We start from the raw sequence: 25,107 nt of genomic DNA on the forward strand, positions 1-25,107 counted from the left end.
AAACCACATATCCAATAAGGGGTTAATATCCAAAATACATAAGGAACTCCTACAATTCAACAACAACAACAACAAATAAATAAATAAATAAACTTGATTTTTAAAATTGGCAAAGGACTTGAATAGTCATTTATCCAAAGAAGACATACAAATGGCAAATGGGCATATGAAATGATACTCAGCATCACTAATTATTAAGGAAGTGCAAATAAAAAACAAAATGAGATATCAATTCACACCTCATTGTCATCACGTGACATCTCTCATCATGCCTAGAAATACTGGTAAGGAGCAAGGCATCAGAAGGCTGATGACATGGAACAAGGCAATTTTCATTAATAAAAAGGATGGTGTATAAGTAAGCAATACTGCTGACTTTTGCATTAAAAGACTCAAATGAATTAAACTTGTCAACACTTATCTTGTAAAAAAAAGATGTGTTGACAACAGTATAAAAGATAAGTATTGAAAAGAACATGGAGAAATTTGAATCATTGTACAACATTGATAGAAATGTAGAATAGTGCAGCCACTATGAAAAACAATATGGCGGCTTCTCAAATTGCTAAAAATATAATTATTATGTGATCCAGAAATCCCATTTCTGAATATATATCCAAAATATTTGAAATCAGGATCTCCAAGAGAAATCTGCACTCCCTTGTTCATTGCAGCATCATTCACAATAGCTAAGATATGGAAACAAGTTACATGTCTATCAGTGAATGAGTGGATGAAGAAAAACATATCTGTATATACATACACACTGGAATATTATTCTGTCTTAATAAAGAATGAAATCCTGCCACATGTAACCACAGGGATGAACCTGAAAAACATTTTTTTCTGGTAACTTTGGTCCTTCTCTAGGTAGTTAACCTTAAAGCATATTATTTAAAAATGTCAAACAGTGGCGCCTCTTGTATTCAGCTACTTCATCAGTGTACAAATGTCCTTGTGGCACACTCCGTGTATAGGCAGACATGCTGCTGCAATGAGTGTTAGTAAAGCCTGGGGCCAGAGAGGACTCAGTTCTAGGTTCACATCTTCAAGCCTTGGGGAAGTCCTCCAGGCTCACTGGGCTCAGTTTTTCTATGTCTATAATCAGGAGACGATAATGAGGGATAATAATAATTGCTCTCAGAGCTGAATTATGACTTTTGTGGGCCCCAGGCACCTTTGCCTCCATAGGCCTCCTTCATCCATAAAACAAGTATTTAAAATTGTATTTTTGCACCTGTTTGTATAAAGGTGACTATAATTCAGACTGGACCATATTCCTTATCTTTTTCTGATTTTAAAAGAAATCAAAACTTTCCTTTGGTCCTTAAAAAGTACTGTAGACCCTAGCCACTGTGCCTATTATGTCTGATGGCTACATCTACAGTGGCCACTCATTGTAGATATAAGAAGATGTAAGTCTCTATCTCCTCACCTCACTTATTGACTCAGCACTGACTGACACCCACAATGTGTCAGAAACTAATGAGCACCAAGGGCTCTAGAAATGAAGATGCTACACCAGGCTGGGATGAAGACTTGTCATTTCCATTGCTGCATCACAAACCCCTTGCACAGTGCCTGAGACAGAGTTAATGCTTGATTAATGTTTGATTAGTGAATAAACCAATGGCAGTATCTCTGCTCAAAGAGATGTCCTGTCTAGAGACAACATAATGTCATGTTTAATGATAATTATGCATGTCTGTGTCTTACGTATGTGACTACATCCTCATGAAAAGAATATGAGGGTGTTCACAGTAACAAGCAAGGGCATATTCAAAGCAAGGGCAAAGTGCAAAGAATCCAATAGAAATGGGTATAAGAGAATAAGAAGAAGAGCCTACTTAGAAGAAATAAGATTTCTGCCTGAGAGGCAGCTCTGTGCCTCAGTTTCCCCCTCCCCACCCTGCCCTGCCAGACACACACCTCCCATCAGAGGAGAAGGGGCTGTCATGGCACAAGGCTCGGCATGGTGGGAGCCTTATAAAGCTAAGCACATCCTCTTGTCCAGTGTGAGCATTACCCACTCTGAGGAAGATACTGTTCTACGATTCTCTGCAATTCGACTTAAAGACAGCTTCAGAGTGGCAACCTTGTACGTTTTCTCAATGACATGCACTCCTCTGTCTGGGAAACCATCTTCTAAGTAAAACAAAGGAAGGAGGATTTCACTTTGTTGGCCAGCACACTCATCTCAGAGAAAGGTGCTCCCCACTGCAAGGCCAAACCTATGATCTCCACGGGTGAGCCAAGGAACTGGGAGGCTCAATGTGCAGGCTGGAAACAGGTCTGTTGGGAAAGTCAAATGCCGGACACTCTATCTGTAAGTTCCTTTGTTCTTCTGCGTTCAGATGTTCTCAGATTCCAAGGCATCCAACACTCATTTACTCAACAAAGGCTTCGTGGCCATATGTCACGTGCCAGGCATACATAGGTAAATAAATCAGAAACGCACCCTGCTCTGGTGGAGCTTAGAGTCTAGAGTCCCACTTCTGGATATATATCCAACATATTTGAAATCAGGATTTCCAAGAGAAATTGGCACTCCCACGTTCATTGGCGCATTATTCACAAAAGCCAAAATATGGAAACCACTTAAATGTCCATCAATGAATAAATGGATAAAGAACACACACACATACACACACACACACACACACACACACACATCCCCACATACACACTAGAATATTATCACATCCTTCCAAAGAAGGACGAAAGGTATCACAACCTTCTTTGGTTAAACATTCACATCATGGTTAATGATGGGGATGAGGAGATGGCATCAGGCTCACTGATTTAAAACTCCAGCTTGGTCCCTGCTCAGCTGTGTGGCAGCAGTGACATACTTAAACTCTCCCAGTCTCAATGTCTTCATTTGTAAAAGGAAGTATGAAAGGGCCATTCTGTGAATTGAAGAAGTCCATGCACATAAGTGGCTTACCAGCATATTTGATGTAAAGTAGATGTTCAAAAATGTGATTCGAAATGATCAATAACATGCTTTTCACACTATGGTGAAATGTGTAATTTTTAATTATTCCTTTGTTTCATGTACAACATGGTGAATGGATCACAGGATCCATTAAGGGTTGGCACTGAGTTTTATTCATTGTCTTAGTCCCTGCAGCTCACAGATCCTAGCACACAGTAGGGGCTAAATAAATGGCTGATAGATAAATAAATGAGCACATGTACTAAAGCCTCTGCCCAAGGAAATGGAGATCTGAAGACAAAGAAATCTCCCTAAAGTCCGTGTCTTCCCACCAGGCTGCCATTCCTCCGTCGGATGACGGAACAGCCCTCCTTATGTCAGTGAGAAGAAAAGTGGTGTGCAGCCTTCCTTGGGGAAGAACAGGGTGCACCTCACTCTGAGTAACTGGATCCTTGATTTTTTTTTTTTTTTTTTTTTTTTGTTGGAGACAGAGTTTCACTCTGTCACCCAGGCTGGAGTGCAGTGGTACAATCTCAGCTCACTGCAACCTCCGCCTCCAGGGTTCAAGTGATTCTTCTGCCTCAGCCTCCTGAGTAGCTGGGATTACAGATGCCCGCCAACACATCCAGCTAATTTTTGTATTTTTAGTAGAGACGGGGTTTCTCCATGTTGGCCAGGCTGTTCTTGAACTCCTGACCTTTGGTGATCTGCCCGCCTCGGCCTCCCAAAGTGCTGGGACTACAGGCGTGAGCCACAGTGCCCAGCCTGAATCCTTGATCTTTAATGACGGTCTGTCAGAGCCTGAGTATTCATCAGCTGTGATGGCTATTTATGTCTCAACCTTGCCAGTTCACAAAACCCAGGTATTTGGTCCAACATTACAGATGTTTCTGTGAAGGCATCTTTTAGAGGAAATTAATATTTAATTCATTAGACTTTGAGTAAAGCAGATAACCCTCAGTCGTATGGGTGGGCCCTGTTCAGTCAGTTGAAGACCTTTCAGTAGAAAAAGACTGACTTTCCCCAAAGAAAAAGAAATTCTGCCAGCAGACTGCATTCAACTTGGATGGCAACTCTTCCCTGGGTCTCCAGCCTGCCAGCCTACCCTGTAGACTTTAGACTTGCCAGCCTCCACAAGTGCATGACCCAATTTCTTAAAATCTAAAATATACACACACATACACATTCACAAACACACATATACAACTTATTGGTTCTGTTACTCGGGAGAAACTAATACATCGAGCATGTGCCAGCTGCCCCCAACTGGACCAGGCAGTGTCAGGGATATCACAGTAAAAGCAGCACACAAAAGGCTAAAGGAGGCCTCGGGGATGATCATATCCAATTATCTCTCTATACCTTGAGAAACTGAGACCCAGAAGGGTAGGTGCCTGGCCCAAGGTCACACAGCAGGTTGGCACTGAGGAAAACCACGTGGCAGACTCTTCACTCAATGTCTCACCACAAGGCTGCATTGAAGCTCTTGGAGGAAGATTTGATTTAATTATGTGGATAAATGACAGAAAAAAATAATATCAGCAGGAGGTTTTTACTGGGCATGTTTGTGTCAGGCTGTATGCTCAAGGCCTTTATAAGCTTATTTCATTTAATCCTCTCAGCAACCCTGTGAGCCAGGCATTAGTATATCCTTTGACTGATAAGCCAAGAGTCAAAGAGGGTAAATAATTCCCCTAGTGTGAAGCTGCTGGTTTCAGATGCAGAGGGAACATAAGCGCTTGCTCCACCAACTCTAAATGTGGAATGTCTAGATGTCAAAGGTGCTGTAGGAAAGAAAAGAGGCCACGAGGGGAGAGGGGCCAGGGCTAATGAGAAAAAGACATGGCCTGTCTCAGCAACCCTTACCTCCCTGTGATTTTTTACGCCAATCAGCTCGTATTGCTATGAAAGTCCAGTTTTGCAAATGTCTCTGCAAGGAAAGGCTTATTTTGAAGGGAACACCTGTTCTCTAATCCTTCCAGCTGATGCTACAATCTGTGCGGATTCCAATGTTATTTGTTAATGCGCTGGGCTTCTCAGGGATTTGGATACAAAGCTCCCAGGGGAGGTGGAGGGAGTGGATTTTATTCTTTGCTTGGCAGCACTTGTCTGGTGGGAAGGCACAGGGTGGGTGCACAGCACTGAATCTGCATAATTGGATGGGACTCAAATGGAAAATGCACAGGAAAAGAATCAAGTCCTGAAAATAACCCATTGAGCTAAACTCCATGAGCAAGTTCAAAGCTAAGCACTCACAAATAAACCATTTTATCTGAGTCTGGTCAAAGACAGGGATGTCTGCTTTGACACACATCCCCAAAAATAGCCAAGAAGAGAAATAAAAAGAAAATGCTATACTGTATCATGGGCCTAAGTCTATTTCTGTGATGTTTTTATACATATTAACTTCTGAAATCCTCCCTAGAAGGTAGATGTGATCCCATTTCACAGTTAAGAAAACTAAGTTTCCCAGTCCCACCAACAGTGTAAAAGTGTTCCTGTTTCTCCACATCCTCTCCAGCACCTGTTGTTTCCTGACTTTTTAATGAGTGCAATTCTAACTGGTGTGAGATGGTATTTCATTGTGGTTTTGATTTGCATTTCTCTGATGGCCAGTGATGATGAGCATTTTTTCATGTGTCTATTGGCTGCATAAATGTCTTCTTTTGAGAAGTGTCTGTTCATATCCTTCACCCACTTGTTGATGGGGTTGTTTTTTTCTTGTAAATTTGTTTGAGTTCTTTGTAGATTCTGGATTTTAGCCCTTTGTCAGATGAGTAGATTGCAAAATTTTTCTCCCATTCTGTAGGTTGCCTGTTCACTCTGATGGTAGTTTCTTTTGCTGTGCAGAAGCTCTTTAGTTTAACTAGTTCAACATTTGTGGAAGACAGTGTGGCAATTCCTCAAGGATCTAGAACTAGAAATACCATTTGACCCAGCCATCCCATTACTGGGTATATACCCAAAGGATTATAAATCATGCTGCTATAAAGACACATGCACATGTATGTTCACTGCGGCACTATTCACAATAGCAAAGACTTGGAACCAACCCAAATGTCCATCAATGATAGACTGGATTAAGAAAATGTGGAACACATACACCATGGAATACTATGCAGCCATAAAAAAGGATGAGTTCCTGTCCTTTGTAGGGACATGGATGAAGCTGGAAACCATCATTCTTAGCAAACTATTGCAAGGACAAAAAACCAAACACCGCATGTTCTCACTCATAGGTAGGAATTGAACAATGAGAACACTTGGACACAGGAAGGGGAACATCACACACCAGGGCCTGTCATGGGGTGGGGGAGGGGGGAGGGATAGCATTAGGAGATATACCTAGTGTAAATGACGAATTAATGGGTGTAGCACACCAACATGGCACATGTATACATATGTAACAAACCTGCACATTGTGCACATGTACCCTAGAACTTAAAGTATAAAAAGAAAAGAAAAGAAAACTAAGTTTCCACAAGAGTGAATGAGTTCCCCCAAGCCACATAGCATTTATCATAGGAGGCATTTGTAACCAGAGTCTGCTTTCTACCGCATTGTAACAGTCTCCGAGATAGAAATTTGGCTGGGCCGTGCTCAGATATGTCATTTGTAACAGAGTCTGGTGGACTGAAATGGTCTATCATGTGTGCCATTCCATCCCACTTCATACCAGGTCTAACGTTCTGAGCTGGGCACACACACGTCAGCAGAGATGCCCCTCACTCCACAGCTGCCTCCCATTTGGTTACTGGCTCCTGCCGTGTGAAGCAATGAATGGTCTGTGTGGCCTCAGTGTCTTGCTTCTCAGCTTCCTACATGAATATGATTCACACATTTGTATCATTCATTCCCCACACTTTTATTGAGCACTGAGTATGGCAGGCATGGTGCTGGCCCTAGGGATGGGGAGCTGAATGAGTTGGTTTCTATTCCCAGCCACTCAGAGCCCAGTGGAGGAAGGACAGAAATGCCTAGAGAATTGAAGAGAAAGTATTTCTTTTTAAGAAATCAGAGAGTACTTTCATATTAGTGGTGGCACCTGACAAAGTCTTGGAGGGTGTACAGGGAGTTGCACATCAGAGTCCCTCAGGACAGAAACCTTCTCATAATCATCTTCACAACCTCCTGTGGCAGCCTCAGCAAAGGCCCTTGGCTTGGGAGATGAGTGTTGAAAGTGTTTTGAATTGATCTGTGACCACTGACATTCCCTAACGCCCCAGGCCACATTCCCTGGAAAACAGAGTTTGAGTGGAAGATTTTCAGGCAGTAGATTCTGACGTTCTGAGGGCCAGCACTGGCTCTGAGACTCTTCAGTCTCTACAATGGGGTCTACTGAAACTCTGGGTGCCAGCCCACGTGGGGGCTGAAGGAAGGAAGACTGGACATAGGGAGAAGCTGAACTGTGATGTAGTCACAGCAAAGGCTTCGGCCGACCACGGGGAGCTTTGCCTCAGTGATGGTCCTGTAGCAAAGGACCCACAGCAGGGACAGTCCAATGACATGCTACAGGGCTCACTGCTTTCCACTCGCTTTCTTACTCATTCACTTCCTATGTGCTGGGCCCTGCGTCAGTGCTAAGGACGTCAGGTTCTGAGAAGCTCAGTGGTTGACTGAAGTTCTGCATCTACAAGTCACCGGAGTCTACCCTGGAACTGGTCTTATTTGGCTCTAAAATCTGCTCCTTCCATGGCACAGAACCCCATTCTGGCTTCAGGTCCCCTCAGCAGGTTCTTGACAACTCTTTTCTTTGCTTCTCAGGACCATAAAATCATGTGACACAGCAGCTTGGACAAGATGAAGACATGAGTTGGGCAGCTTTTGCCACCAGACCTCCTGGCTGGGTCTCAGAGCTAGCAAAGATAACATCACAGGAGAGCCAGCTGAGTGCATTACCTAATATTCTGAACAGTCTGTGCACAGAGCCTGACTGTATAGGAGGATAGAACACCTCTTTTGCGGGGCTGACTGGGCATGGACAGTTTATCACACTTATAATGTGGGCTACTCAGAAATTAGTAGTGATAGTTACTATTAATGTGACAGTTACTTTTACGTGTCATCTTACTTGGGCCACAAGGTGCCCAGACGTTTGGTTGAACATTATTCTAGGTAAGCCTGTGAGGGTATGTCTGGATGAACTGGTCAATTGAATAAAGCAGATAGCCCTCTCCAACATGAATAGGCCTTATCCAATCCATTGAGGGCCTGAATAGGACAAAAAGACTGAGTGAGAGAAAACTGTCTCTCTTATTTATTGTCTTTGATCTGGGACATCAGTTTTCTCCTGCCTTTGGACTTAGACTTGCAAGGGGCCTTATAACACTAGCTTTCCTGGTTCTGAGGCCTTTAGCCTTGGACTGGAATGATACCACCTGCACTCTTGGGTCTCCAGCTTGCTGACTGAAGATTTGGGGGCTTCTCAGCCTTCAAAATCATGTGAGTCAATTACTTATGATAAATCTCTTTGTGTGTGTGTGTGTGTGTGTGTGTGTGTGTGTGTGTGTGTGTGTGTGTGTGTTCTATTGGCTGTATTGGTCCTGTTTCTCTGGAGAACCCTGAATAATACAGGCTGTTTATTTATGAGTAGGCCACTAATAAAAACATAGCATATACTGGCTTGGGAGAAATATGAGCAGAATCATACCCTGTGTGGTTAAAGCCCTGCACATCACAGAAGAGCAGGGGATGTTTCCTAGGATAAAAGAACAAGGGGAAGGACAGGATATGCATATTTAGTTAGCAGCTAGTGAGTATTGGATACCGGGCTAGGAACTTTACATTTATTACAACATTTGGGTACATATAACACTCCATGAGATTATTAGCTATTGGGGAGCCCACTCTACAGGTGGGAAAACTGATGTTCAGAGAGTGCACAAATGAAAGCGGGAGCCAGGTTTTGAAACCAGACATGGCCTTCAACGTTATCACATAGTCTGAGTGGCCCCCTCACAGCACAGCCTCCTGACCTACAGAGAACCATATTCTTCCAAGAGACCACATATAACAAGTATCATATGAAGACCATATTCCCTGTATCTATCCCAGGGCTTGGCCTTAGAAATATGTCTGATAGAGCTTGTAGTGATAAAAACAAGGGGTGGGAAGATGGTGAAAGGAAGGGTCAAATTAGCAAAAATCTCTGAAGGGGATGTTTCAAAGAAGCATGAATCTCATAGAACATACACTCTGCAAAGTAAAGTTTGAAAGTTTTGAAGCAACTGCCCCACACAGGCCTTACCTCTGAGGAAGTCGGCTTGCAGTACCCAGCTCCAAAGACCAAGTTTTCCAGAGAAATGATAGACTGTTCTTGTCCGGTGTCTGGGCCACCTTTACCAAGCCAGGAGCCTCTTCCTGGACGAGTAAAACTAAACAAAAGATAATTGAAAGGGTGAAAAAGGAGGTAAAGAAAGTGATGGTGCCATTAACTCAGCCCCTTTGAGGAGTGTTCCTGTGAAGCATTTGGGATAAGTCATTTAGGAGTAGTTCACCCCCTAGGGAGTGTTTGCATGTGACATTTGTGGATATTTTGATGATAAAGAGGGTACAACTGGCACGTAAGCTTGAAAGTCAATGATGATACACATCCTACAATGTGTGCATGTAAATGCCCACCCTAAATGCCAACAACATACCTGTAAGAAACACTGAAGCAGAGCTCCAAGCTTATATCACTAGAGGGGAAGGTGGCATGGGCTCCGAAAATTTCAGGGGCAACTCTGACCAGACAAGGTCTGAGTCCTGTCCCTGCTCCTTCCACCAACTCCTCCCTCCCTGGACCTCTTTTCTTCTGTGGAAAAGCATAAAACATCTTCCTCCATGATCCGCATGAGAGTCTAATACGATGTCAAAGACTGTCATAAGCCAGAAAGCACTCGCTGTGTCAACGCTAATTGGGAAGACCATAACCTGCTCAGCTCACAAATGTGCAGTTCCTGCCCAGCTCTGCAATCCAAAGATTAATGGACATATTGTGATGGCAATGATCAATTTCAGGATCAAAGGAGATTAGGAAAAGATGTGTGATTATTCAAATTTATCATATTTGAGTTTATGATCATCTTCCTCTATCTTTACCTGTTTGATTTTCATCAATTGATATACCAGTAATGTTCACTTATACTCATATTCTTTTTTAGATCTCTTCTGTTTCATTTCTTTTCTAATGGATGTTTTGTCATATTGTGGATACTATATTCTAGGCATGTTTTAGTCCCTCAGTAAAATTTAAAGTCTCTGATGGCAAAGAGGGTCTTGACAATAAATAGCCCCAGGTGACATCATCTTCATCATCTTCACTATGGGTGCTCAAGAAACATTTGTGGAAGGGCTTAATCCAAGAGATCCAGGTTCCTGCTTAAAATATTGACAGGAAAATAAATTTAGCATTATATTTATGTTTAATTCATTTATTCAAATATTTATTAGGCCCATACCATATGCCAGGCAGTGGGTTAGGTGCTACGATGATAAGATGATTGAGGCACAGCCTTCACCTTAAAGACATTTGTCTAAAGAGCAAAGGAAACCAATAGATGTAATACAATGCAGGAAAACTCAGGCCAGTGTGTGCAGGAGAGCAATTTATGATGCAAACGAGGTGAAAAGAATGTGTCCAGAGATGATCCTCAGAGTATGGTCAAGCAGTGAGGGGGCAATAAATCCAGCCTCTCAGGGTTCAACTCCCTAAAGGCTGTGTGACCTGAGGCAAGTTTTTAATCTCCCTAACTCTGCTTCTCCCTGTCAGAAGGTTTGATACCAGCACCCTAGCCATTTGGTGGTTGTTGGGGTCCCATGGGATAAGCCAGAGGCAGCTTCCAGTACAGTGTCTGGCAAGCAGCAAGGCTTCCATCAATGCTAGGAGCTATCTGTTGCTAATACCACACATATAATAAAATAGAATCATTGTTCTGATTTGTTTTCAATTGCAAGTTGAAGCAACTCTCTAATTTAGCTATAAGATGGATAGAAGGAACATTCCAGAAGAAAAGTATAAAGTGTCTATGTGAATACTCCTGGCACATTCACTGGACAGACTGCAAATTAATAACTAAAATAACTTGTTATTTACTTAAGGGTGGTCTTAATTAGCTTTTCTGGTGGATCTGAATCCCTCAAGTGAAATCCAATCATATCCATTTGGGGGTTAAAAATTGGATTCTTTGCTTCAGCTTGTTTTAGTGAAGGCTAAGGGGTTTTGGAGGTTAAATGTTAATTTCACACCTATTTCATGATAATTGTGTTTAACTGATGCTGTGAAAAACTGCTTTTCTGGAAAAGCTAGTGCTTGCCCTATTTGACAGGTATTTCCCACAAACTTAAAGGGTTCCCTTTGTTTCCAGCTGCTGTGATCCAACTGATAGAAGTTCTTTCTGCAAAATCCAGAGGACAGAAGACAATTCTATTTTTACCCCCAACCCTGAAGAAGTCTAGCCCTTACTGTGAATTTCTGTCTGTGTTTCACTCCAGCAAGGTTGCTGCAGACAAACTTGCAAAAGACTCTTTCTGTCGGAAGGTTAAACATTTTACTAAGATTTCTAAGATTCCCAAATTCTCAATAGAATAGTATCAGGGACCCCATTATAAAATGGGAGTGAAGCCTGCTAATATGGTTTCACTGTGTCCCCACCCAAATCTCATCTTGAATTGTAGTTTTTGTAATACCCACATGTTGTGGGAGGGATCCAGTGAGAGGTAATTGAATCATGGGGGTGGTTACCTCCATGCTGTTCTCCTGCTAGTGAGTGAGTTCTCATGAGATCTGATGGTTTTATAAGGGGCTTTCCCCCATTTGCTCAGCACTTCTCCTTGCTGCCGCCATGTGCAGAAGGACATGTTTGCCTCCCCTTCCACCATGATTGTAAGTTTCCTGAGGCCACCTCTGCCCCGCAGAACTGTGAATCAATTAAACCTCTTTTCTTTATTAATTACCCAATCTTGGGTATTTCTTCACAGCAGCATAAGAATGGACTAATACAGTAAATTGGTAACACAGAGAGTGGGGTGTTGCTATAAGGACACCCAAAAATGTGGGAGTGACTTTAGAACTGAGTAACAGGCAGAGGTTGGAACAGTTTGAAGGGCTCAGAGGAAGATAGGAAAATGTGAGAAAGTTTGGAATTTCCTAGAAACTTGGAGGGCTCAGAAGACAGGAAGATGTGGTAAAGTTTGGAACTTTCTAGAGACGTGTTGAATGGTTTTAACCAAATTGCTGATAGTGATATGGGCAATGAAGTCCAAGCTGAGGTGTCTCAGATGGAGATGAGGAACTTCTTGGGAACTGGAACAAAGATGATTCTTGCTATGCTTTAGCAAAGACAACATTTTGCCCCTTCCCTAGAGATCTGTGGAATTTTGAACTTGAGAGAGATGATTTAGGGTATCTGGTGGAAGAAATTTCTAAGCAGCAAAGCTTTCAAGAGGGAGCAGAGCACAAAAGTTTGGAAAATTTGCAGCCTGATGATGCAATAAAAAAGAAAAATCCATTTTCTGGAAAGAAACTCAAGCCTGCTGCAGAAATTTGCATAAGTAATGAGGGACCCAATGTTAATCACCAAGGAAATGGGGAAAATGTCTCTAGGGCATGTCAGAGACCTTCATGGAAGCCCCTCCCATCACAGGCCCAGAGGCCCAGGAAGAAAGAATGGTTTTGAGGGCCTGGGACCAGGGCCCCCTTGCTGTGCACAGCCTAGGGACTTGGTGCCCTGTGTTCCAGCTGCTCCAGTTGTGGCTAAAAGGGGCCAAGGTATAGCTCAGCCCACGGCTTCAGAGGGTGCGAGCCTCAAGCCTTGGAAGCCTCTACTTGATGTTGAGCCTGCAGGTGCACAGAAGTCAAGAATTGAGGTTTGGGAATCCACCTAGATTTCAGAGGCTATATGGAAACTCCTGGATGTCCAGGCAGAAGTTTGCTGCAGGAGCAGACCCCTCATGGAGAATCTCTGCTAGGGCAGTGCAGAAGGGAAATATAGGGTCAGAACCCCCACACAGAGTCCCCACTGGGACACTGCCTAATGGAGCTATGAGAAGAGGGCCACCATCCCCCAGACTCCAGAATGGTAGATCCACCAATAGCTTGCACCATGCACCTGGAAAAGCCACACTCAACATCAGCCCATGAAAGCAGCCAGTAGAGGGGACTGTACCCTGCAAAGTCAAGGGGCACAGCTACCCAAGGCCATGGGAGCCCATCTCTTGCATCAGCACGGCCTGGATGTGAGACATGGAGTCAAAGGGGATTATTTCAGAGCTTTAAGATTTAATTACTGCCTTATTAGATTTTGGACTTGCATGGGGCCTGTAGCCCCTTTGTTTTGGCCAACTTCTCCCACTTGGAACAGCTGTATTTACCCAATGCCTGTACCCCCAATGTATCTAGGAAATAACCAACTTGCTTTTGATTTTGCAGGCTCATAGGCAGAAGGGACTTGCCTTGTCTCAGATGAGACTTCGGACTTGGACTTTTGGGTTAATGCTGGAATGAATTAAGACTTTGAGGGACTGTTAGAAAGGCATGATTGTGTTTTGAAACGCAAGGGCATGAGATTTGGGAAGGATTAGGGTGGAATGATATGGTTTGGCTATGTCTCTACCCAAAGCTCATCTTGAATTGTAGTTTCCATAATCCTCACATGTGGTGGGAGGGATCTGGTGGGAGGTAACTGAATCATGAGGGCAGTTACCTCCATGCTGTTCTTGTGATAGTGAGTGAGTGCTCACAAGATCTGATGGTTTTATAAGGGCCTTTTATCCTTTTGCTCAGCACTTCTCTTTGATGCTGGCATGTGAAGAAGGATGTGTTTACTTCCACTTCCACCATGACTGTATGTTTCCTGAGGCCTCCCCAGCCCTGTGGAACTGTGAGTCAGTTAAACCTCTTTCCTTTATACATTACCCACTGTCAGTTCTTTCTTCATAGCAGAGTGAGAACAGACTAATACACTTGCTCTCTGCCCTTTCGGTTGGCATAAACACTTTGCATCACCAAACCGGCCTCCAATCTGATGTAACTTCCAGTCTAACCAACTCAAAGCTGCTGGAGTCTTTACAAAACATAGATCTTACCAGGTAACTCTACTGCTCAAAACCTTCAGTGCCTCCTTTTTATACAATAAACAAATTCTCAATTCCTTAATGTGCCATTAATTACTGTATTAAACTATAACTCCAATTTACCATCCCAAATTCACTTTTCACTGTCACAGTCTCTTATCCTCTGGATGTAGCACAAAGGATGTTTCTTCTAGAAAGATTTCTCTCATGTCCCTGAAGTAGAATTGCTTCTTTCCCATGCTAACAATTACATAGCATTCACTAAATGCTTATTATGTGCTAGACATGAGGCCTAGGTGAGGGCTTGGAATATGGGAGGTGCTAAATAAAAATCGACTGAATGAATGGCCAAGGCTTTTACATGTGCTGTCTCATTTAATCATTCTAAAAGCTTTCTGGTATGTACCGAAACTGAAACTCACATGCTCAAGCTAACAGAGTTAACAAGCAGGGGGCTCAGATTTGCAACATGGGTTTGTCTAATCCTAAAAACCATCCCTTTAATTCCTACCCTACACTGGGTTCCCACATCCCTTGCTTAACAGGTATTGCTCAGAATTACAGTTTGGTCTATATGTGTTTCTGCCACACTCTGAGACTTTAATGATGCCAGACTTGATTTATCTCAGAGCTTCCAGACATGGCCTCTCTAGAAGTGGCTAAAGCTTAGTGACACCCACCTTGAAGCAAGCATGTTTTCACCACATGCAGCACTATATACTTCATCCCATTGCACCTCCTCATCATCCCTGTCGGGTTAGTATCACATCTCATTTTTAAAAAATTTCGGCTGGGTGCAGTGGCTCACACCTATAATCCTAGTACTTTGGGAGGCTGAGGTGTGTGGATTGCTTGACCTCAGGAATTTGAGACCAGTATGAGCAACTTGGTGAAACCCTGTCTCTACAAAAAATACAAAAATTAGCCAAGCATGACGGCTCCTGCCTGTAGTCCCAGCTACTTGGGTAGCTGAGGCAGGAGGATCACTTGAGCCCAGTTGGCAGAGGTTGCAGTGAGCTGAATTTGCATCACTGCACTCTAGCCTGGGTGACAGACAGAGTGAGACGCTGTCTCAAAAAAAAAAAAACAATAAAAGTAAAATAAAATAAATGAAAGTTCCTTTGACTCATTCATTGACTTATATGTTGAAACAGATGCTAGAAAAGTTAGGTGACTTATCCAAGGATCCCCAAAAAGTAAGTGGTAGGGCTAGATGATAAGATGGTCTTGACTCCAGCCGATGAAAGAACAATTTGATCCTAGGGCCCCAGAATCCACTGCAGGAAGCTCTGCCTTTCCTACCCCAGGCTGTCTGTCACCTTCTCTTGCCTCATCTTCAGCAGAGACAGCCTGCTAATCCCAGGACCTGACCTTACTAGCCTCACCTCGCAGAGGGCAGACAGATCATGCCCTTAACTCTGTGTTGAGGATGTGATTTGCCAAGCCTTGGAGTGCATTAGCAGCTAGGGAATATCCTGTGGGAATATTCTTCACAGGATGATAGTACTCTCTGTTGCTTTCTGGATTCTATGTCTCCTGTCACTTCCCAAGGTCAGGTCTGCTGTCCTTTGTTTCTATAACTGTGAATCTTGTAACATTTTCTACCAAACTCTACCACAACGGCATTTACCATATTATAATTTCATATATGCGAATGGGCCCACTTCACTGGACTGTGAACTCACTGAGGGAAAGATGTATTCCACAGTATTTTTATATTCCATAGTAGAATGTACTGCATATTCACTTACACTTTCCCTAGAGCACAGCAGGCCCCCAGTAAATACCCATTGAATGAAAGAATAATGGAGCCAGGAAAGGAACCCAGCAGATGGGCGTGGTCACTGGATCACACCTTCAGGGGCAGCAGCTCCTGGTCACGTGGCATGGGTCAGATTGGGTAACTAATTTCCTACTCTCTGACCCCAGCAGAGAACAGGGGCTTCAGGACAAGAACAGCAAACGTAGTGAAAATTCTAGTCTCCTGTACATGCACCTAAACTGTCAGCACTGAGAAGCCATTCAGAAAAGGGAAATCAGGAAAGATCCCTTTTGGAAACACCATGCTGCAACATTCTACGCATAAACATTGCACACGTGGAACTTTTGCCCATGTGCATGTGTAATGTTTTGAAATTATTTCATGCACCTATCTGGCCATGCTGGGAGTAGATATGAAGACAGGTGAGCATGGTACAATATGCTAGATGCTGTCAGTTCTGTCCCTCTACTTGGGGCATTCATAGAACCTCAGTGCTTCACATGATCTGGAACATGTTCTGGGAAAATTCACTGAAGGGAAGAATCAAACCATATGAATGGGCTGGGTGTGGTGGCTCACGCCTGTAATCCCAGCACTTTGAGAAGCCAAGGAGGGTGGATCACCTGAGGTCAGGAGTTTGAGACCAGCCTGGCCAACATGGTGAAACCCCGTCTCTACTAAAAATACAAAAATTAGCTGGGCGTGGTGGCGGGTGCCTGTAATCCCAGCCACTCGGGAGGCTGAGGTAGGAGAATTGCTTAAACCCAGGAACCAGAGGTTGCAGCAAGCCGAGGTGGTGCCATTGTACTCCAGCCTGGGCAACAAGAGCAAGACTCCATCTCATATAAGTAAATAAACAAACAAACAAATGAATGAACCTTCTACATTTGAACAAATAACAACTTGGGGAAGAAAAAGAAAACTAAGCCCCTAACATGTGCCTGGTACCATCTTCATTTGAGATTCACTAAAATCTTACGTAGATGGGACACACATTAGTGTTCCTGTCATAGAGGATTATGTGGCTCAGGAACATTAGATGACTTCTCAAAGAAGGCACAGTTAGAAAAATGTGAAGCCAGACTCCAAGTCTTCCTGGTGTAAGCCATAGTTTGCAGGTTTTCGACTTCCGGGTTCCACACCAGTCTCCCTTTGGGACCTCCTCCTTCCTCTCTCGCATGCTCCTCAGTGAGGCCCAAAGCTTAAACCTGCAGCCTTAGAGAAACTCCCTTGCGTGTGCTGATCTCTCCTGGAAAACTCCCTGCCCCTCTACCACACCTGCAATGGAAGGTGGCTCCCACATATCAGGGCTGCCTCTGAACTTCATACCTGATCAATGGCTGCTGCAGAGCCACCAGGGCAGCATGGACGGTCACCGAGATCACAGACAGGTGGAAATAGTCGAACATGACCGGGACCTGGTGGTGCAGACCATTCCGGGGGTGGAAGTGCAGGCCAAGCGTTCGGCTGCTGACCATCGGTGCCCCAGCCACATCCCTCAACCTAGAAGGCAAGCATGTGAGCTCACGTGAGAAATGGTGGGTTGCCCCTGCTGTCCTCCTAGCATGTCTGTATTAAGCCTCTCCATGGGCCAAGCACCATGCATACATCATCTCGTTCAATCCTGCAAATGCTCTGCCTGGTAGAAATCATTTTTCCCACCATTGGCAGATGAGAAAACCATGGCTCACAGGTATCACTAGATATCACACAGCTGCTACACAACAGATCTGGTGACATGCTCCACTGTCACGGACATCAAGTTCATGTGTCAGTGATGGATAAGAAGCCCAGACTAGCTTTTAAAGACTCTTCAACATTGAAGCCTCCTACTTTTTCCACTTCTTTATCTCCCCAACAGATGCCCAGATGTCCAGTGCTCTCCTCATAACGCTGCACTGACTGTGTGACCCTGTGTTTTCTAACAGATTCCTACCTCTTAAGGGACTATGACTAATGCGTCTTTATAGTCCCAATACCTAGCCTAGTATCTGGCAGGTATTGAGAATATAAATACGAATTAAAATGAACAACTGACTGACTGAACGAACAAAAGAATGAATGACTCCCAAAGCACAATGCTTAGATAGTCTGACTAGTTTCATCAAGGATTCCCCAATGTCTGCTCCAATATTTTGTAATTGACATGTATCTGAGTCTAAGAGATTAAACCAACTGGCACACGACCCAACAGCATCTTTGGTGATTAAAAGAACATTGGTTGTTGCCTAAATAAAACCTGGGGCCACGTTCGCCCCCAGGAGGACCCAGTGCTAATCTCAAATCCTGAGAACCAGTCATTTGGGCTGGGCAAATTTCTCTGAAGCAGACCACAAGGGAAACCTGGGAGGAGCATCTTTCATGAGAAGAGCAGAGAGGAAATGCTTGTCCTCCATCCATAGATAAGGAAATGAAGCACAGAAAGGGCGAGATGAAGGGAGCAGTCTCTTAAGACCCAACACCATAGGCTTTGCTTCCTTGAAACCCTTGTTCCTTGTGCGCAAACAAAGGCCAAGTGAAATAGCCAGCTAAATTTTTAGAGCTCAGGGTGACTCCATAGATTGAATATGAATAATGGTCCCCTGGTACCAGAAAGAAACCTGTCGGGGAGAGGGTGAAGGGTCTAGGCCATGAATCTCAGCAAGGTGTTAACATTTACATTCTTTTTAATTCAGGCTACAATTTGTTGAGAGCTTATTATGAACTGAACATGGTACTTTCCCCTTTACTCTGTATGGCAATCACAGGAGGTATTTATTGGCATTATTCTGTTTGTAGAAAAGGAAGTAAAGCCAACAAGAGTTAATCAAAGCCACAAGGCAAAAATGTAATCTTGGACCAGGTCTTCCTGATTCACAGTTGTTTCTGAGTTACTGCTCACTATTGCTTTGAATCCAGTCAGACACAGGTTCCCAAGAATCACAGATATAACCCTAGGGCTTGAACAACAGGAGGTTAAATACATGTCAGTGTCGCAAAGATGGCAAAAATGTTAACAAGAATTTAAGCCACATTAGTAAGAGTAAAGAATTAAGAATGGAGAGGTGGTAGCTCTCCTGTGCTCTGAAATAGATATATCCAAAATGGAGCTAAAACTTAGGTCCTGGTGGTGGTGCAGGGAGGTCTCTAAGCTCTGAAATGATGGTGATAAACTTGACTGCACTGATAGGAGAGTGTCTGAGTTCTTATAAGGGAAATAAAGCAAACAAAAAAATTAAACAAACAAAAAACACACACAGAAAGAGCCCTAGTATTTAACCTGGAGATGATATAAACAAGGTTTCTGTTTTAGTTTTTGGAGATGGAGTCTCACTCTGTCACCCAGGCTGCCAGGCTGGAGTGCAGTGGCATAATCTCGGCTCACTGCAACCTCTGCCTCCTGGGTTCAAGCAATTGTCCCACCTCACCCTCCCAAGTAGCTGGGATTACAAGTGTGCACCACCACGCCCAGCTAATTTTTGTATTTTTCAGTAGAGATGGGGTTTCACCATGTTGGGCAGGCTGGTCTCGAATTCCTAACCTCAAGTGATCCTCCTGCCTTGGCCTCCCAAAGGGCTGGGATTACAGGTGCGAGCCACCTTGCCTGGCCAAGAAGGCTTCTTTTCTAAACTGCCATCCAGACTTGGGATTTGTCTGGGTGGTCACAAGAGATAAAACTGAAGTCTACTGAGGGCAGATGCACAGGGATGAATTGTTCCTTGAAATAAAGAAGAATTTCCCGATCAGCAGAACTATTCAGGGCAGAATGGGCCATGACGTGAAGGAGTGAGCTCCCCATCCCTGTGCAAACAGGTTCTGATGGGTCTTTGCAGAGTAACAAGTACAAATATGAGGTTAGGATAAAGCAGGGTTTCCTCACCTCATAACATTGACTTTGGGGACTGAATCATGCTTTCTTGTGGTGGGAGGGGGCACTGCTGATTTGTGCACTCTACGATGTGAAGCAGCATCTCTGGCCTTTACTCACTAGATGGCAATATCTAAGTGTGACAATCCTGTCTGCTTCACACCATCCCTGGGACTTGTTCTAAGGCCCTAGAAGAGGTTGGCCTTCTTTCTGATCTATAAAGTCAGAAGTGAAGCCCCGCCCTTATTGTTGCTCACATCTCCCCTCAAGCATCCTCCCGAGCTGTGACAACCAAACATGTCTCTGGGCATGGCCACATGTCTCCAGGGGTCAGAATCCTCCTGCCTGCATTGAGAGCCGCCAGACAAGACAAATTTCACAAGCTCTTCCGTCCCTCATATGAGAGGCTCTGCTTCTCCATTTTGTTCCCACCCAGACTTACCTGATGCTAAAGAGGCCAGATGATTTGGTCATGTTTCAGAGCCTAATGTCCACCCCAGGATATGCCACAGATGCCTTGTCATCCTTAAACTCAATTTATGAAAATTAAAAAATGTGGCATTTTCAATCTTTCCCAGCCTCTGGCTTCCTGTTCCTCTTAGCTAATCTTATAGTTCATGAAATCCCTTGCTCTGATTATTATTAAGTGCTCAGGAGAGGAAGCAACACATTGAAGCCTGGCCTCACTTCCAACTAGGAAGCCATAAAGAGGAAGAAGACATTTATTCATCAGATTGCGTACTTGGCCTATTACATATATTGTCTCTCTTAATCATCAGACAGACCTATGAGGTATGTATTCTATAATGACATCTATTTTGTAACTGAAACTACTGAGATTTATGAAAGTGTGGGGACTTCTCCAATGTTTTATAGTTGTTGAGTTTTACACACTTTGAATAAACCAATCTCCTGTATAAAGGCTCTCCATTAACTACTGTTTTGTTGAACAGAAGGTCTCATGTACTGTATACACTGTGACTTATCACATGGAGGGCAGGTTGGAGGCTGATTTCTAGGCTGAGCTTGGAGTTAGCAGCAGGGTTCTGTGATGAATTGGAAATGTCTACCATAAAGCTATGAATGAATGTCTTGGAAGGAAGTGGAACAGAGTGATAGGGCGGGGTGGGTTAATGGAGGCGTTAATGACAGAAACCCCAGATGGTTAGGGGAAAATAGGAGCACAATAAAGTCAGGGCTTTACTTCTGAGTTTATAGCTTGGGAAGAAGGCCAGCCTCTTTTAGGGCTTCTGAGTTCAGTATGGTGCTAGAACAAGTCCTGGCAATGGGATGAAGCAGGTAGGATTCCTCAAGTCTCTACACTATCCTGCTAAGGAGAAAGCAGATGTAATGAGAAAAGCAGGTGGCCAGAGGACTGGGGTCCAGATAGAGACAAAAGTGAGGCATCTGTGAAGTTGAACCCAGACTGTGGCACGAACAAGGTAGATACTCCTGCCAGCCCAGGTACCAGGCAAGACATCAGCGGATGCCCCTTCTCAATTCCCATACATGATCAAGTCCCTGACACTTCAGTAGACATCCATCTTTGGTTCAAATCCCCTTGGACTCAGCTGCCCATGTTATGAACAGTCCCATAATGGATTAGACAGATTTCAGAGACAGGACAGTCCTTGAGAAGGGGAAGAAGTTCTGAGAAGAAATCTGAACTTTTTTTTTTTTTTTTTTTTTGAGACACAGTCTTGCTCTGTCACCCAGGCTGGAGTGCAGTGGTACAATCAGGACGCACTGTAACCTTGAACTCCTGGGCTCAAGCAATCTTTCCACCTCAGCCTGCCAAGGTGCTGGGATAGCAGGCATGAGCCACTGCCCCTGGCCAAGTCTGAACTTTGAAGGGATAAAGGGAACAGTTCTGCCAGCATTGGCTCATCAGCTTCCCAATTCCCCATTCTCCAAAGGAAAAGGGGAAACATTTGTTGGAGAGGTTACAGAAACCAGAAGTGAGAATTGACTTTAATTTGCAGATAGTGGTCAGTGTGTGCTGAGATTCTGCTAACAGAGAAAGAAGGAGATTTCCTCCCTTTGCCTAAGCCAAGGGAGGAGGTCTTCAAGGGAGATTGCCCTGTCTCCCCTAGAACAGTGGGAATGCAGTTCCTGGTGCTCAACTCATTCTGCAAAGGCCATCAGGAGAGAAGCTGAGGGTGGCTGGACTGGTCTAAACAAGAACGAGCAGGCTTGGCAGAGGAGGTTCTCCACATATGTGGAATGAGGGTTAAAGTGTCTGTGTCCTTTTCCCATGGGCCAGATGTGTGTGCTTTGGAAAAGTATCCACCCCCAAAGAGCTAACTGCAAGGAATGAGTCACCCAGCTATTGTGAGGCATCACTACATCAGATAACTGCAGGGATGGGGCTGTGTGACTGTCTTCTGGCCAGGGGGTACCTAAGCAGTCTCTTTCTAAGGAATTCACAAGAACATCCTAAGGGCAGTTCAGGGTTTACCATATGACAATCGCACTTACAACTGAACCCCTACCCTTTCCTCCACTGTTCCCCTCCTTACTGTGCCTGACCCTGCAAAGCCTGCAAACTGCAGTGGGAAAGAAAGGGGGGATATGAAGCCCCCTACCATGCCCTGTTCCTACACTGGGAGTTTTCTACCCTAGGGAAGCCTGGATCTGGAGGTGAGGTAGAGAAAGGAGGCAACAGAAAGAAGTTATACAATGGATGAGGTTTAGAGTTCTGGTATTATACTTCACTGGACTTTTCATACCTAAAAAAGGATGACTTACTTATTAGCTGAAATATCCCAGCTTAGTTGGCCTGACAGCTCAGCCCAGGGTAGGAAGAAGAGGTCACAGAACAAGCTAAAAGAAAGCAGTTCCAAGAAAGAAGAAAGTTGCCTCCTGCATTTAATGAGCAGGTTATAGATAAATGGAGTTTCAAGTTTCAGAGTTGAAACATAATAGCAGATATGTCGCACAAAGATGTAGAATCCTGGAAGAATCTCCTTTGACTCAGAAGGGGATTTGCCATTTGTAGCCTCATAGGGTCATTAATCTAAAACCCCCAATTTCTATCACATTGTAAGATGTGTGAAGGTGTCAGACATGAGAAAGTGCCAGTTAGTAAAGCCAATAAGTTATGAGATTTCTGTGTATGCATTTGAGCTGCCTGACTAAAACGTATGTGGTTTGAAATGACCACACAAACTTTCTTAGCCCGCACCCCTGAGTCAGGGACATTGCAGCTTATCAGGAGATGCTGATCTGAGAGACGTTCTGAGGTTCAAGGCTATGAGGCTATCCCAAGAGTGGGGAAGCGGGGAGGAGAGCACTGTGCTACTACAATTCAATAATTTCCATGACACTCACTGCTGTTCACTGTCCGTAAAGTGCAGATCCACCTTGAGTTGAAAATCTACTTCACTCAGTGCGTCTTCCATCTGCAAAAGAAACAAAGTCCAAGGGATTTCAGGAGTCAAATCTTGTCCAAATGAAATACTTAGCTGGTCTACTTCCCAAAGTAGAGAAACACTATCTTGTCCAAAAATCAATGTCATTTATGCTGAAAGCAGAATTTCCATGCATGTTTCATGGAGTTCTGGGTGAACAGGATATCTGAGAGTATTACACAAAAAGAAAAATAGAAGGGATATACATACCCAGTTTGGGAGAAGTCAGTTTGCAAAAAAAATGCTAAACAAGTTTCCTTTTTGCAGGGCTTTTGAGAATCTCATTTGGATTTGATCTAGAATCCCATCTGGGGCAAGAGTAAAGTGTTCTGTAGCACCTGCTCTGGGAAGGATGGAGCAGTGAACTCGCAGTGAAATCCCACTTGGCTAGCAATGGGATTAAGTCAGAGCAATGTCATCTCTAACCCTCAGGCATCCTCTCAGGGCAGGCACCATTGCCCACGTGTCCAGAGGAGGAAGCTCATGTTTGGGAAAGTGGTCACTTCTTCAGGCGTCCCAGCTTCATAAGAAAGCAGCTTCTTCATTTTTGTCTTGAAATCCATTGTATTTAACCATTGTCACTTTAAGACACTGGCATTTTATGTCCTACTCATGGCTGCTTTTGTCCTTTGCTTTAAGAAAAAAAAAACATGCTTTTTAAACACAGGAATCTTTATTCTTCGTGTCAGTTTCTCATATACACCTGGAAGATGGTACCCCTAGTTCTCTTTTTCTCACATCACCCCCAACTCAAGGGGGCATTACTTGCTAAATACCAGATCTCGCCACCACCTCTACTCAGAGGTCAACCCAGCGTCAGTTCTGCACACCTGTGATAGGACTTGGTCTCCTCCTCATTCACAGGCAGGATGAAGCCCTTTTCATCCGTAACCACAAAGCCCATGTCTTGTCTATCTTGGTATTTAACGGTGCCTATTACAATTTTGGAGGCAGTGTTACAACCTGGAAGCCTGTGAGCCAAGTATTGTCTGCTGATGTGTCTTGTTTAGACCCCATAGTATTTTTGAAAATGTTTTGAACAAATTGCAAACATTTACAATTCAGGCAATTTCATATTTGTATTACGGGTTTTCAGCTTCTACAAAAAATAAAAAATAAAAAAAAAAATAAAACAAAACAAAACAAAACAAAACCCTGGACTTGGGAGTGCTGGGCTGGCATTTAGAAACTCATTTGGAAACTGTTCAGATCAGGTAATTGCTGTCCCGTCTACCACCATTCACAGTATTCACTGACACGCATTTGGCCTGCAGCTAAAAGCCCCTGGCTATTTTCTTGTGTAGTGTCCCCAGTAATCCTTATATGATTAAGAGAGAGACTAGTTTTAATTCATTCTTGATCCCTTGCTCCAGAAATAGTGTCTGCTGCATAGAAAGTATCAATGCATCTTTGCGGAATAAATAAAGCTCTTTCCCAATCCCCACCTTTTTTGGTTTTTGTTTCTTTGCAAGAATCTCATCTTCCTGGGATGGAAATCTCTTAACCAAAGATCTCTTTGGAAATGTATTCCTGGTTAAGCATAATTCATGGAGAGATATACAGATGGAATTTATCTTTAGGTCTCCAGGGTTTAAAATTTGTTATTTAAAAAAAGCATTTAAAAGTTAACATTTTGCTGAATCCAAGTGCTATAAATAACTTCCTTTCCTAGCTTTGTTTTGCATAATCATGAATCTAGCCTCAAATACACAAGGAAAGCACTGCAGCCTCTTGTCACCAGGAAGAGAGACTGGCAAAGTAAGCTTCCCAACTACCTTCTGAGCACGCATATGCCTGGGTAATGAAAATTCAAAGTAAACTCCAATTTTAAACTTGCTGCAATTTCCTTAGGAACTGGGAGAGAAATCATTCTCCTGGATAAGCTGTGGCTAAATTGAGCTGGGCTATGACTTTACAATGCTTTAATGAATCTTATTTGCAAGATATTCCAGAATGAAGTCACTGCCTTTTCTAAACATTTATTTCATGGTTGGTTGTTGACTTCCTACCCCTCCCTTCAAAAAGACACACACACCACACACACACACACACACACACACACACACACCATACACACAATGATTTTCCTTTATTC

At 43.6% G+C, this 25,107-nt stretch overlaps 1 protein-coding gene across 15 annotated transcripts in view; it reads right to left on the reverse strand.

The window, feature by feature from the left end:
- FAM135B (family with sequence similarity 135 member B) overlaps positions 1-25,107 on the reverse strand; it is a 367,708-nt gene that overhangs the window by 103,734 nt on the left and 238,867 nt on the right. For 14 of the 15 annotated variants that reach the window (NM_001362965.2, NM_015912.4, XM_011517062.2 and 11 more), the window contains 3 exons: positions 22,933-23,003; positions 17,085-17,258; positions 9,186-9,312 (listed from right to left, as the gene is read on the reverse strand). In NM_001362965.2, the coding sequence (NP_001349894.1) occupies positions 9,186-9,312; positions 17,085-17,258; positions 22,933-23,003 (372 nt within the window). Of the gene's footprint in view, positions 1-9,185; positions 9,313-9,579; positions 10,267-17,084; positions 17,259-22,932; positions 23,004-25,107 lie in introns of those variants that run through there. The other variant, XM_011517069.3, reaches the window with a different exon arrangement.

Source organism: Homo sapiens, chromosome 8 (assembly GCF_000001405.40).
Source record: "Homo sapiens chromosome 8, GRCh38.p14 Primary Assembly".
NCBI classification, from domain to species: Eukaryota; Metazoa; Chordata; class Mammalia; order Primates; family Hominidae; genus Homo; species Homo sapiens.